This window comes from Homo sapiens, chromosome 16 (genome assembly GCF_000001405.40).
Source record: "Homo sapiens chromosome 16, GRCh38.p14 Primary Assembly".
Taxonomy (NCBI): Eukaryota; Metazoa; Chordata; class Mammalia; order Primates; family Hominidae; genus Homo; species Homo sapiens.
Window position 1 is genome coordinate 26,931,731 of NC_000016.10, and position 14,976 is coordinate 26,946,706.

The window sequence follows — 14,976 nt, forward strand, 5'->3', positions numbered from 1 at the left end:
CTGCTTGGTATGCCCAATGGTTTGGGAAAATACGAGTTTGTAAATTTTACACACAAAACCTAGCTTTCCTTGAAATGCCAGGAGATCTGGCCAGATGGTACCATGTAGCCCCAGTGAGTGGGAGCTGAGGAGTGTTGCCTCCTTTTGGTGGCAAAGGGCAAGGACCCTCTAATATGCCTTAGTCACTGTTCAGCCCAGTTCATTAATTTAGCTAACCAGGCCCTATAGGGATTTGATCGTGTGTGCCCTGACACTTGCCATGTCACTGAGGTTGACACTGCTACCAAGTAATTTCCCATAGTAGCTGTGACCACATGCTGTCCCAGTGCAAGGAAGAGAAGACTGAGGCGAGGCTGTCTTTGAATGTATATACTTCATGGTAACTTCTAACAGCCAGAACCATGTCTGCAGCCTAACTAAAAATTAAAAGTCTGTCTTTATTTTTTTTTTATTACAACATTTTATCACTGCCTTCTACTTCCAGACTCTCCTCTCTCTCTAATGGCCCACATCTCACAGACTGGTTTGGAATTGCTGGGATAGAGAAACCAGAAAAAGAAAGTAAAGGAACTACATTCACAAGACTTTGGGCACATGCATGCCTGCTATGAGGCCCAGGGGACTAATCAAGTTATCTGGAGAGAAGGATGGATGCAACCTGACATTGTGATCTTCATCCATCAATTCGGAGGTCCCATTCTCACCATTCACATCCAGAAATCTTTCCACTTTCTTGATGAATGTTGGCATTTTGTGCTGTGCAGTACCTTCTATCCATGCAGGAAATGGTGAGGTTTCCAGCTGTCTCTAGATCTTAGTATCTATGACCAAAGGTTTCACTTGCATCCTGCCTTGTGATTATTATCAATGGATTCACCTACTAACCATATTGCACAAGACCATGTGGTGTTATTTTCTCTATGTCATGCCAATCATCAGTTTCAAGAACAAAAGCATGGTAAAGTCAGATCAATTAAAATCCACCATGAAGTCAAATACACGATTCATATACAAAAGACAAGTAGGCAACGTTGTAATTGCCAGTCACTCATGTAGACATGAGTTTTTTAAACATGTCCAGGTGAATTTGCTCTTACATAGCCCTCTGGATCATGTGTTTTCAAAGGAGACTGATTATAGTGACTATCCATGGCTGGACTAAGGACTCAGGCACAGGCAATGACCATCATATGTGGGCTGCTGGGCAGGTGCCTTGGAAAGAATCCTGTCCAATAGGGGCATTCCATGACATATGGTGGCATCCCGAGTCAATCAAACCCTCTCTTCTGAGCCAGTTAATACTAAAGGAGCAAAGAGGAAACATGTCACTGGACTTCAGACTGTCACATCTAGTGGTACAAATCTCTTGTACCTGTTCTAGGTGAAGCCTGTCATGCATCTGTCTCTAACAATAGCTGAGATCCAAGAGAACAGTGCAGCTCAAGGTGTGAGATCCCGCTTTCTACTTTTCCCTTAATCAGCCTATAAATGCCAGTTTTACCACCCACTGAACTTAAGTTCTCCTAAATCTTGGCACTCTGAGTCTTACCTGCTTTGCCCAGCAGTGAGTTTGGTCTTTCCCCTGATTTCTCCTACCCAAATGTCTCTGAGAAGTGTCAAAGATCCCGACACTTGTCTATACGTCAGTCCTGCTCCCGTTCTCCATCTGCTAGTGAAGCAGGAATCACAGAAGTCCTGGAACCCAGAACCCAGATGATGCAGTTTCTGGCCTGGTGACAGCCTATGGAGGCTTCAACTGCCCTTAATGTCTCAAGAGCTCTTGATCCTGCCACCAGGTGGAGAAGGAAATCTGCAAACTTCACCAGTTAAGCCAGCCAAGACCTCACAGTTTAAGCCTAGCAGCTGCTTCACCAATAGCTATGGTTCCTCCAACTTAGTGGCTCTGTTGCAACTGACATAAATTCAACTAAGTGAGTGAGAAGGAGAACACTGCCTACCATCAAATACGGTTGTGATGGATCCTCCAGCAAATGGTTCAAATTAGAAGCAACAGAGTCAGTTATTCATAGAGCAATTATTTCAGTACAGACACTCATGCACACACACAGACACACACACACCACACACACACAAACACAGAGAGAGCATCATTTTCCCAAGGAGAGGTCTTGACCAGCAGCACCAGCTAGGTGAAGATGGCAACAGCCATCCAGTGCTCCAAGAGTAAACACACCCTTCCTAAAGTGTTCCAGTTATTTAGTGAGCCACCAGCATAGTAGTGCTACCAGGTTTCAAGTGTGTCATGTTCTCCAGCTTTCTGGAAGAGGATAGCCAGATTAGATGTTTGCTGGAAGAGATTTACAACCCCAAGAAACCTGGTTGGGCCCAGGCTTTCCAAGGTGACATCAACACAGCTCTTTCACTGTCTTCCCCTGCCTCTCTCTTGGGACCTCAAAAACATTTTAAAAGGCCAGGAGGGGGAATGACACCATTCCATTCCTACACTCTGATGCCCCAAAATTTCCAACTCAAACCTACAAATGCCCATGGATATTACCTCTAGCACCAAGAAGTTACCTGTCTACCAAGAAATTTACAAAGAAATTCACAACCCCAACCATACTGTGGATTAAACTTCCACTACAGAAAGTAATCAGCATGTTCTTTTCTTTGCTCCCTTATTGATTTGACTAAAATATATATAGTATATGCCTTACATATTTATATTCTATGGATTTTCTTCCAAACCAAGAACTCTCCATTCTAGTTCTCATCCTGTCATCCACAAGTCTTCCCAAGGGTAGATGGGCAACAGAAAAAAATACTTCCATCAATTTTCTAACTTTTCTTATACATCACTCCCCTTATCTTGCCCCCCAACTACTATGAAGACCTAAGCACCAGAGGGCTTTTTTTTTCCTTTTTGAATACAAGGTCTCATTCTGTCACCAAGGCTGGAGTGATGCAGTGGCTCTGTCATAGCTCACTGCAGCCTTGAACTCCTGGGCTCAAGCAATTCTCCTGCCTCAGTCTCTCAAGTAGCTGGGACTACAGGCACATGCCATCATGCCTGGCTAATTTATTTTATTTTGTAGAGACAGGGTCTCACTTTGTTGCCCAGGCTGGTCTTGAACTCCTGGCTTCAAGCAATCCTCTCACCTCAGCCTCCCAAAGTGCTGAGATTATAGGTGTGAGCCACCATGCCTGGCCCAGAGTGTCCTTAATGATATTTCTTAAGAGTTTGCTTCTGCCCTGGAATTGGATGATGTTCTCTTCTTCAAAGCTGATGTTTCTCACACTTTGGGAGGCCGAGGTGGGTGGATTACGAGGTCAGGAGATCGAGACCATCCTGGCTAACACGGTGAAACTCCGTCTCTACTAAAAATACAAAAAATTAGCCGGGCGAGATGGCGGGCACCTGTAGTCCCAGCTACTCGGGAGGCTGAGGCACGAGAATGGCGTGAACCCAGGAGGCGGAGCTTGCAGTGAGCCGAGATCGCGCCACTGCACTCCAGCCTGGGTGACAGAGCGAGACTCCATCGCAAAAAAAAAAAAAAACCTGATGCTTCTCTTCTTCAATTCTTTTGCCACATTTCAACAAATACTCACCAATTTCTACTCCATGACAGCCCCATAAAACTGCTGCCTCTGCTACTAACTAGCTGTGTGACTGTGGGCAAGTTATTTAACCTCTCTGTGCTTAATTACATCTTATGTAAAATGGGGGTAAAAAGAGCAACTATCATAAGATGGTTATGGGTATTGAGTACATCATTATATGTAAAGTGCTTAGAACAGCACCTAGCACACATGTAGGTGCTTTTTAAGTGTTTTCATCCTTTTGCTTTTTAGGAGCTCATAGTCAAGTGCAGAAGAGGGAGGGATACAGAGTTGTGCATGAAGTCAAGGAAACCTGAGGGGGGCTCCCAACCCAGCCTTGGAGGAAGGGGAGAAGGTGGATCTGTGAAGGAATCTTAGATCCTACAGAAGTGACTCAAACTGAATCCTTAAACAAGAGTAGGACTAAGTCAGGAGGATGGTGCTAGGAAGTGCATTTTTGGCAGGGGGAACAGCTGTGTAAAAAAGCTCAGAGGCAGGGAGGGGCCTGGAGAGCTCCTGGAATGACAAAACGCAGCCTGGCAGGAACACAGAGTTTCCTGTGGGGAGTTGGGAAGAAGGGAAAAGTCCGGAGTTGCTATGGGACCCAGACTGTGAAGGGCTCTGTACGCCATGCTTCATGCCTGGCTCTTATCCTGAGAGCAAGAGGAGATACTGGAAGGGCCTAAGTTGGGCAGTGGCATGGTCTGATGGACATTTTAGCAAGACCACACTGCGTGTAGTGCAGAGAGTTAGAAGGAGTGACCCTGGTGACAGGGAGGCCAGGCAGCATGCTGGAATGACACCCAGATGGAGGTAAGAAGGGCTGAGTAATAAAGAGGTTGAGCACTTTCCAGCACTTTCAAGCCCTAGCTGTCTTTCCAGCTTTCAGGCAGCTTTGAACCTTGACAAAATTTCTCTCGTAATTTCTCTTCCGTAATCAGAAATATTGGGGAAGGGGCCAGGGCACACTTAAAAGCAGAGGTTCAGAATCCCAGCGTGTGACTACAGATATGTTGATGCCTGCTTTTCCGATAAGGAAACTGAGGCACAGACAGACTAAAGTGACTTGCCCAAGGTGACACAGTTGATGAGTTAAAGAACCAGGAGAAAAATTGCCAGGGTACAGGTTACTAATCTCAAGTTGGTGTTGTGTGAGGTATTTCCACCAACTTTAAGTCTTGCAACTCTCTTAGGAGGTCTTAGGAGTATTTCCAGTTCACAGATGGAGGAACTGAGGCCCTGAGCACTGGGAATCTCAGCACACAGAAACAAGTCGTAATATTCAGGATCACAGCCAACGTTCATCACTGAGCACTCAGTGAGTGTCAGGCATCACAGGTAGGTTTTACACGTGTGAACTCATCTACTCCTCACAGAAACCCTCTGATATAGTTTGGCTGTGTCCCCACCCAAATCTCATATTGAATTATAGCTCCCATAATTCCCCTGTGTTGTGGGAGTGACCTGGTGGGAGATAGTTGAATCACGGGGGTGATTTTCCCCATGCTGTTCTCATGGTAGCAAATAAGCCTCACTAGATCTGATGGTTTTATAAACGGTTTCCCCTTTTGCTTGGCTCGCATTCTTTCTTGTCTGCCACCATTTAAGACGTGTCTTTTGCCTTCCAACATGATTGTGAGGCCTCCCTAGCCATGTGGAACTGTGAGTCCATTAAACCTCCTTTTTTTGTTCTGTTTTGTTCTTTTTGAGACAGAGCCTTGCTCTATCCCCGAGGATGGAGTGCAGTGGCATGATCTCAGCTCACTGCAATCTCTGCCTCCCAGGTTCAAGCAATTCTCATGCCTCAGCCTCCCAAGTAGCTGGGATTACAGGTACCCGCCACCACGCCCAACTAATTTTTGTATTTTTAGTAGAAACAGGGTTTCACCTTGTTGGCCAGGCTGGTCTCAAACTCCTGACCTCAGGTGATCCACCCGCTCAGCCCTCCAAAGTGCTGGGATTACAGGCGAAAGCCACCACGCCCGGCCTAAACCTCTTTTTCTTTATAAATTACCCAGTCTCAGGTATGTTTATTGGCAGCATGAAAATGGACTAATACACCCTCTGGGAAGGAGACCAAAGACAGAGCGGATAAGCCACTCACCTGAGGCCACACAGTAAGTGCTGAAGGTGAGACTTTTGCCCAAGCTGCCAGACCCCACAGCCCATACTCCTCAGGACTCTGCTAATCTGGCTTTCATGAACAGAGTCCATGTTGCAGCGGGAACAGTTGGGGCTTGAGGGCTGACCTAAGTTCTCCGCTCACGTTTTTCAGCTGTCACACTCGGGATATCCACTGCCAACTTCACGGGCATGTTTCTGGGCAAGGAGCCCCAAGTGGTAGGTTTGGGCTACTAGGCGCTTCCCTGGAAGACCATGAAGAGCATTCAGAATTCAAATCGCAAAGCTGGAAATGCCAGTTCAGTCAGTAAATGCCTGCCTAGCCTACAGAAAAAATGGGGAAATTTGAAGTTAAAGAGCCAATGTGTCCTATTTTTCAAATATGAAACCCAACACCCAGACAACAACAAGACTTAATCTGGATTTCCCAGACTTTGCATCCTTCTATAGTCCTCATTCTTTTTTTTTTAATTTAATTTTTGTTATTATACTTTACATTCTGGGATACATGTGCAGAATGTGCAGGTTTGTTACATAGGAATACATGTGCCATGGTGGTTTGCTGCACCCATTAACTCATCATCTAGGTTTTAAGCCCCACATGCATTAGGTATTTGTCCTAATGCTCTCCCTCCCCAGCCCCCCAACCCCTGACAGGCCCCAGTGTGTAATGTTCCCCCCGCTGTGTCCATGTGTTCTCACTGTTCAACTCCCACTTATGAGTGAGAACATGTGGTGTTTGGTTTTCTGTTCCCATGTTAGTTTGCTGAGAATGATAGTTTCCAGCTTCATCCATGTTCCTGCAAAGGACATGAACTCATTCTTTATTATAGCTGCATAGTATTCCATGGTGTATATGTGCCACATTTTTACTAGCTCAGGATTCACGGCAAGCCCATTTCATTCATTTGCCTGCATGGTTCCAAGCCCTAGTTAGTTTGTTATGGCAACAGAGCAGTCATTCTTGCTGTTAGCCACTATTTGTGGTTTCCTCCTTCAAAAGACTAAGTTCATTGAACTTCCCAACTCCTCCAACTTAAATGGGGCCAGGTGATTTCCTTCATGTAGTGAAATGTGAGAAGTTACCTGTGACTCCCAGATAGAAGAAGCCTTTAAGATCCAGTGTGAAATCCACCATATTTCCTTCCCTTCCTTGGTGATTGGAAGCAGCCCAGGTGCTGAAAACTTCATCCATCAACTGGAGTACCAGAGTGAGGATGACATGGGGAGTTCAGCTCCAACTGGACCCATGATGGGCACACAGTGTGAGCAAGAAATTAACCCTTGTCACTTATGATGGCAGCATGACCTGGCCAATCCCAAAGGATATGAGGAGGGGCATGATACAGAGAAAACAAGCTGCCCCTGACCTCAAGGTAATGGTAGGCCAGTCCATAGAAAGACCAGTACATAAATAACAGTACATATGGCCCCTGTCCAACCTCTGAGGGTCTATCTCAAGCAGTATGCTTTCTCCTACACACAAGCACTCATTTACCAACCCATGCACCCCTGGGGAACTGTCTGGGAGGAGGTCATGAGTATGTGAGTGCCCTTCTCCAAGGGAGGAACTAGCTCCCCTCCAAACCTTATTTCCTGAAAACCACACTGAAAGGATATGTGGCCCATCTGGAAAACTCATTGTTCTCTAGCCGGGTGCTTTGGCCCTATTTATCCTTGAGTCAGGAATCACCCTGTGGGCAGCTGTACAAACTCCAAGGGAAATGGGATATCGATTTTCACTCCCTCAGATCTCACACACACACACACACACACTCTCACAGCCTCCTCCAGAGCAGTGTGGCTTCCAACCTTTTTGTCACCAACACCTTGGTCTTTTTTCTCCTTTCGGCTTCATGTTTAGAAAGACATTTCCCCCAAAACAGTTGGAATGTAGTAAGTAATATTTCTTTCTTCCAACCAGGTAATACTCCCTTTTCTTTGAACGTCATTACAGATTTTAATATGCCATCCTTTGTCAACAATTGGTCTTTATTTTGCTCTGTGTCTGTGACTAATAAACTCAATGTTCTCTGTTAGTGCTCCTGGATCCCATCCCCAGAGATTCTGAGAGACTGCATCTGAGCTGGTGCCAGGGATTCTGAGTTTAAGCAAAATCACCCTGGTCACTCTCATGCTGGTATTCAATGGGTCATGCTGAAGAAATGACGATTTTAATGCCCATCAGAAAGGTGTTATTCATTCCCAACTTCAGTGATTGTGTGTGGCTTGAAGATATCCTCTGACTTGCCTCAACCTCACTGCCAACGACAGTCCAGATCGCCATCAACTGTGTCACCACCATTGCAGGCTCCTGGCTGGTCTTCCTGTCTTTATCTGTCCACCCCCAGCCCATCCTCCGTACCACACCACCACATCCAGCATCCCACTCTTAGCCACAAAGCCTCCTTGAGAGCCCTGTTGCCTACAGCAGGCCTTTATTGAGCACTTACTGAATGCTACACAGACATTATGCTGAGCTCCTTACATCTGATATCTTATTTAATCTCCACAAAATCCCTATGACATAGGGTCTTTTTTCAGTCTTACTATACAAAAGAGGAAACTAAGAAGCAAGCAGGTTAAGAAGCAGGACTTCCCTCAACATTTATGGGGCTCCAAGCAAGTGGAAGCCTTGAACTCACAAACCATCCCCTTTCCCTCCTATCCAGGCTCCATCCCATACTGAGGGGCCTCACTGTGTGTGGCCACCTGGGCCTACATGTCAAAGCTTCATCCATATCCCCTGAAAACAACCACTGCTCGGACACTGCTCAGAGGTGGTGATGGGCACATCAGTAGCATGGTGCATCCACGGGGGCAGGCACTCAGCAGGGAGGTTCATGCAGACCCTGGAAGTAGATCAGGGGATGTTCGCAGAGCAATCACAGGCTGCATGGTCTAGAAGAAGGGAGAATGGGTTCTAGATGGGTATGTCCCCTTTTTTTTCATTTTTATTTTCAGTTCTGGGTACATGTGCAGGATGTGCAGGTTTGTTACACAGGTAAACTTGTGCCATGGTGGTTTGCTGCACCTATCAACCCATCACCTAGGTATTAAGCCCAGCATGCGCTAGCTATTTTTCCTAATGCTCTCCCTCCCCCGACCCCCTGACAGGCCCCAATATGTGTTGTTCCCCTCCCTGTGTCCATGAGTTCTCATTGTTCGGCTCCCACTTATAAGTGAGAACATGCAGTGTTTGGTTTTCTGTTCCTGCATTAGTTTGCTGAGGATTATGGCTTCCAGCTCCATCCATGTCCCTGCAAAGGACATAATCTCATTCTTTTTTATGGCTGCATAATATTCCACGGTGTATATGTGCCACATTTTCTTTATCCAGTCTATCGTTGACAGGCTGGGAATGTAAATTAGTTCCAATATTGTGGAAGACGGTGTGGCGATTCCTCAAAGATCTAGAACCAGAAATACCATTTGACCCAGCCATCCCATTACTGGGTATATACTCAAAGGAACATAAATCATTCTATTACAAAGAGACATGCACATGTATATTTATTGCAGCACTATTCACAATAGCAAAGACATGGGTGTGTCCTCTAAACCCCGAAGACCCCTCATCCCATTCGAGGGGCACAGCTGGAGGAGGGCCAGAGCGGGCTCTCTGCTGTCCTCTTGGGTGGGATCAAGGCACCACGGGGGAGATCTTGCAGTGGCAGAGCAAGGACTGGAGTCTAGCTTGACTGCAAAACCCATGACCTCAGTTCATCCTTCACTCTTCTCCCTCCCTCCAGGGTCAGGCTTCCAGCATGGAGTTTGCAATCTGGTCCTGGCCGCCTCTAGCAGCCTCCTGCCTGGGTCCTCCCTCCTCCATGCACAGAACATCCATCTCTGTTTCAGACCCAAGCTATGATTTGCCACTTACAACTCATGCCATGCTAGCTTATCTCTCTCTGGCTTTGTAAGCTTGATTTCTATGATTTGAAGTGTCGTTTTCTTTCCTTTTCACGTGGAGAGTTCTATTTACTTAAATTCTACCTACTCAGATCAAATGTCTTCTGTAAACCTTTTCTTAATTCCTTTCCAGCCACCCCAGAGCAAGGATTTTCAACCATCTCTTAGGGCCCTCATCACAGGAAACCCACATTACAAAGCTGTATTGATGAAACTGAACCCCTCTCTATAACCACAGCACTGAGCTTGGACTGGGGAACATTAGATGCTGAATACATGTTTCCTACAAGAATGGCAACAAATTATTCTTAGTTGTTTACAAAATCCAAATGTTTTTCAGGAGATAAAAACTTACCATGCATGGGAGTTGTGAAGCGTGTATATCTTACATAGACAAAGATGTTCATCATTGGCAAAATAATTGCAAATAACTCAAATGACCATCAACAGGGCCATTAGTTAATCAAATTAAGAACATAGGCTATAATGGAATACTACACAGATGTTCAAAAAGAATAAAGCACATTTATTCTGACATGAGAAAATATTACATAAAAAAACATGCTGTAGATCAGAAGAGAATGATTACATTTAAAATTATAGTGGATGGGCATGGTGGCTCACGGCTGTAATCCCAGAGCATTGGGAGGCAAAGGCAGGAGAATTACTTGAGGCCAGGAGTTGGAGACCAGCCTGGACAAAGTAGTGAGATGCCATCCTACAAAAACAAAAAAAAATTAATTAGCTGGGCATGGTGATATGTGCCTGTAATCCCAGCCACTCGGGAGGCTAAGGTAGGGGGGATTGCTTGAGCCCAGGAGTTTGAGGCTGTAGTGAGCTGTGATCATGCCCCTGCACTCCAGCCTGAAGGACAGAGTGAGAATCTATCTCTAACAATAGAACTAACTAAACAAATAAATAATAAAATTGTATACGTAAATTATAGATTAAATATAAGTGTACTCATAGAAAAATGCTTGGCATTATATGTACCAAAATATTGAGTCATTTCCTCCTCCCATATAGAATCAAAAGATGTCATTAATGTCTTACTTTAATAAATTGTTAGGTTATTCAGTATTAATAATGTATTTATTTTATGTGTTAAAGATGTATTTTGAGGCTGGGCACAGTGGCTCACACCTGTAATCCCAGCACTTTGGGAGGCCGAGGCGGGTGGATCATTACCCGCCTCTGGACATGCTTTGTGTTGCTCTTTCTCTCTTAAAGTGAGAAATGCAATGAAATACAATGAAAGAAGTAAAGTGTAAGCTGGTGTTTTTTCAGTATCTGACCCAGCAATCCCATTACTGGGTATATACCCAAAGGATTATAAATCATTCTACTGTAAAGACACATGCACACGTATGTTTATTGAGGCACTGTTCACAATAGCAAAGACTTGGAACCAACGCAAATGCCCATCAATGATAGACTGGATAAGGAAAATGTGGCACATATACACCATGGAATACTATGCTGCCATAAAAATGGATGAGTTCATGTCCTTTGCAGGGACATGGATGACACTGGAAACCATCATTCTCGGCAAACTAATGCAAGAATAGAAAACCAAACACCACATATTCTCACTCATAAGTGGGAGTTGAACACTGAGAACACAAGGACACAGGGAGGGGAATATCACATACCAGGTCCTGTCAGGGGGTGGGAGGCTAGGGGAGGGATAGCATTAGGAGAAATACCTAATGTAGATGACGGGTTGATAGGTGCAGGAAACCACAATGACACGTGTATACCTATGAAACAAACATGCACGTTCTGCACATGTACCCCAGAAGTTAAAGTATAATAAAAAAAAAACTTATAGTGAGAAATACATTTTACATCACAATCTAATACACGCAAACACATGTGTGCACATACACACCCACAACACTTGCATTACTGGAACAGAAGTTTTACACAGCAACTCTTTACTACTTGCAAGTCACTCTGATATTTTCTGATATCTAGCTATGACTCATGAAGTTGATTCCATGACCCACAGTGTAGCATGGCCCTCGGACTGAATAACATTTTGTCCTTGGTAAGGACTTTAACTTACTCCTTATGGGATGCTGAGCAAGTGACTTATGTAAGCCCCGATTTCCTCCTCAGTACAATTAAAAAGTATTATTTCATGTAGCATAAGATTTTGTGAAACTGAAAGTAGATATTTCATATAAAACACTTAGCTCAATGCCTGTCATAACGTAAGCGGTCAATAAAAATCATCTCCCATCATTATTATTTTCTTTTCCAACAGGAATCTCACCAATCTAGAGGAGACTGAGACCATGCATTCTCTACTTCTCTTAAGGCAAGTGACAATTATATTTATGTTTGTACAAGCACCATGGCATCGTCATTATTGACTGATATTGACTTTGCTGTCAATCAAAGACCCTTAAATCCTTTTAAAGCATGGATTGTTCTTTCACCAACCCTTTCACATCCAGTAGGTGTGTCATGAATATTTTGAACATAAAGGTTTGCCCCTACATTTACACTAGTCAGATCTCATTTTGTCAGTTTCAGGGCAGCAATTTATTTAGAAAAACAAGGGATTTACCAGGTGACCGAAGCCCTCAGCTTGTATGCTGGGAGTTATACAAATGAGCCTGCACACTATTCTCACCCAGAGAACCCAACAATGATAAGTCCTTTCAGAGAGCAACTTGTAGTTTTTCAAGCACTTATGATGATTTTAGAGAGGCCAAGGGAGATTTCATTTTCCCCATTTTACAGATGAGAAAACTGTGCTATTTAGTATGGCCTGAAAATGTGTAAAGGAAACCTTGCTAATGAGTGGCGGGACCTAGACAAATATTTATGTCTTCTGGAACCCGGACAGTTGTTCTCTTGACACACTGCATACCTCTGCGCGGATGGCATCCGAGGCCAAGTCTAGAACGGGTGGTAGTGAGTATAGGAGTGACTTACAAGTCGTTGGGGGAATCTTTGCCTACATCCAAAACCTAGTGGGAGGCCAGGCACAGTGGCTCACACCTCTAATCCCAGCACTTTGGGAGGCCGAGGCAGGGGGATCACGAGTTCAGGAGATCGAGACTTTCCTGGCCAACATGGTGAAACCCTGTCTCTACTCAAATACAAAAAATTAGCTGAGCATGGTGATGGGTGCCTGTCGTCTCAGCTACTCAGGAGGCTGACGCAGAGGAATTACTTGAACCCGGGAAGCAGAGGTTGTAGTGAGCCAAGATCGCACCACGGCACTCCAGCCTGATGACAGAGCGAGACTCCATCAAAAAAATAAATAAATAAATAAAAATAAAAATAAAAAATAAAACCTAATGGGAGTGGTTTTTGGATTTTCCAAGAATATCTACTTATACTGGTTAGTACACCATAGCTGCATTTATTGAGTAATCACATTTTTTTGCTTTCCCAAGGACCCAGGTAATCCCTTTTCCATGGTCGCCACAGGTAGCTGGTCCCTAGCCCTCCAGTCAACACTGCTTTAATAAGTCCACATTTGAACCCCCAAGAAGAGAAAGGAAGAAAACATCTGTGATTCAAAATACCTGAGATCAACCCTGTGGAAAGGCAAAGTACCATACTGTTAGGAACATGTGCTTTGGAGCAAATGCTGGATCCCATCCTAGCTCTTGCACCTATCCAGACATGGGACCCTAGGCTAGTCACTAACCTTTCTGAGTCTTTGTATCCATGTCTGCAGAGGAGAAATAATCATACTATGTCAAAGGGTTGCTGAGAGTGTTACATGTTATGAAATGTACCAGACACTTATCTTAAGCCCAATTCCCTAGAAACAGAGCCTCAGATGGGATTCTGAGATGGAGAGAGCTCTCAGGAGGAGGGGAGTGAGGGAAGCAGAATGGGACAAAAGGAGGATGAAAAGCAAGAAAGTAGTCTCAACCCAAGACTGCCTTCAGTCTGATCCTAGAGAAAGCTCTGGAGCCCAAATTGAGCCAGAGAGAATACCCAGTGGAGGAAAGGGGCCAGCCCACGTCAGTCAGTCTCTGGCTGCTGGCTACCCTCTGTGGAAGGAGTAGAGGAGGTGGTTCCTATTCATCCAAGTGATGTGTTTCCTATTCAGCCAGGTGAGGTGTTTCCTATTCAGCCAGGTGAGGTGTTTCCTATTCAGCCAGGTGAGGTGTTTCCTATTCAGCCAGATGAGGTGTTTTCTATTCACCCAGGTGAGGTGTTTCCCTTCCAGCCAGGTGAGGTGTTTTCTATTCAGACAAGTGAGGTATTTACTATCCAGCCAGGTGAGGTGTTTCCTACTCAGCCAGGTGGGGTATTTCATATTCTTCCAGGTGAAGTGTTACCTATTCAGCCAGCGAAGGTGACTCCTATATGACCAGATGAGGTGGATCCTATTCAGCCAAGAAAGCAGGGGTGAGCTGGTAGCAGCCAACACCCACAGCTGCTGGAGGACGATGTACAGCCAATGAAGGGGTTCTTGGTGGGGCACCAGTGGCATCCACTACTAAACAGAGTCTAGCAAATACAAGGGTCCATTTGATGGTAGTTATCCTTATTATTTGAAATTGTCTTTACTATTCTCAGGCTGAGCCAGTTTCATGTCTTGTAGCAAAACCATTACATGTCTTAGGCATCTGTTTTTGGCCCAAGACCCGAAGCAATAGAGACCCAGTCTGCAGCGCTAACATAATAACAGGAAGAAATTTCCCTCCTCTGATGTGAAAACCAAATGCCCTGAATTGTCCAATATCAGAAAGCCCTAACAGGATGTTTTGACATATACAGTTCAGGCTTCAGACAACTGCTTCCCAGTGGAAATCGAACTGAGCAAAGAAAAAGGCAAAATTTAGGAAGTTGAAATGACAGGGCAGATCAATTTGAAAAGCTTAATGTGTAAAGCTTGCTATGCAGGGTGATTTTGCTGAAATGAAATTTTTTCAAAGCAAATCTTCTTTGCCCTTCTGGATCCATACAAAACCGGGGCGTTTTCCCAGAGTCACTAGGAAAATAGCTTTGTGCCATCTGCACCTGTCATGTCGAGGACCAAGACTCTAAAAACTGGCCAAGCAACTACAAATGCTGCAGACAGGCAAGAGGAGGAGACCCAAGCTCCGTGCTCTCTGCTATCCCAGGTTCACTCAGCCAGCACCATCTATATGCTGATGATTCCTGTATTTAAGTCCTCAATTAGGACCCCCACCCCGAATTTCAATCTCAGATATCCAAGGGCATACTTCACATCTTCACTCAGATGCCTAAACCAGTGTCTTCAAAGTCAGCACAACCAAATGGAAATGGAATTCCTCACTTGTTCCTCCCACAATTTCCCTCATCTTTGCATAGGGCAACTCAACATTCTTCATTGCTCAAGTCGAAAACAACATCATAAAAAACATAAACAAATTAACAAGC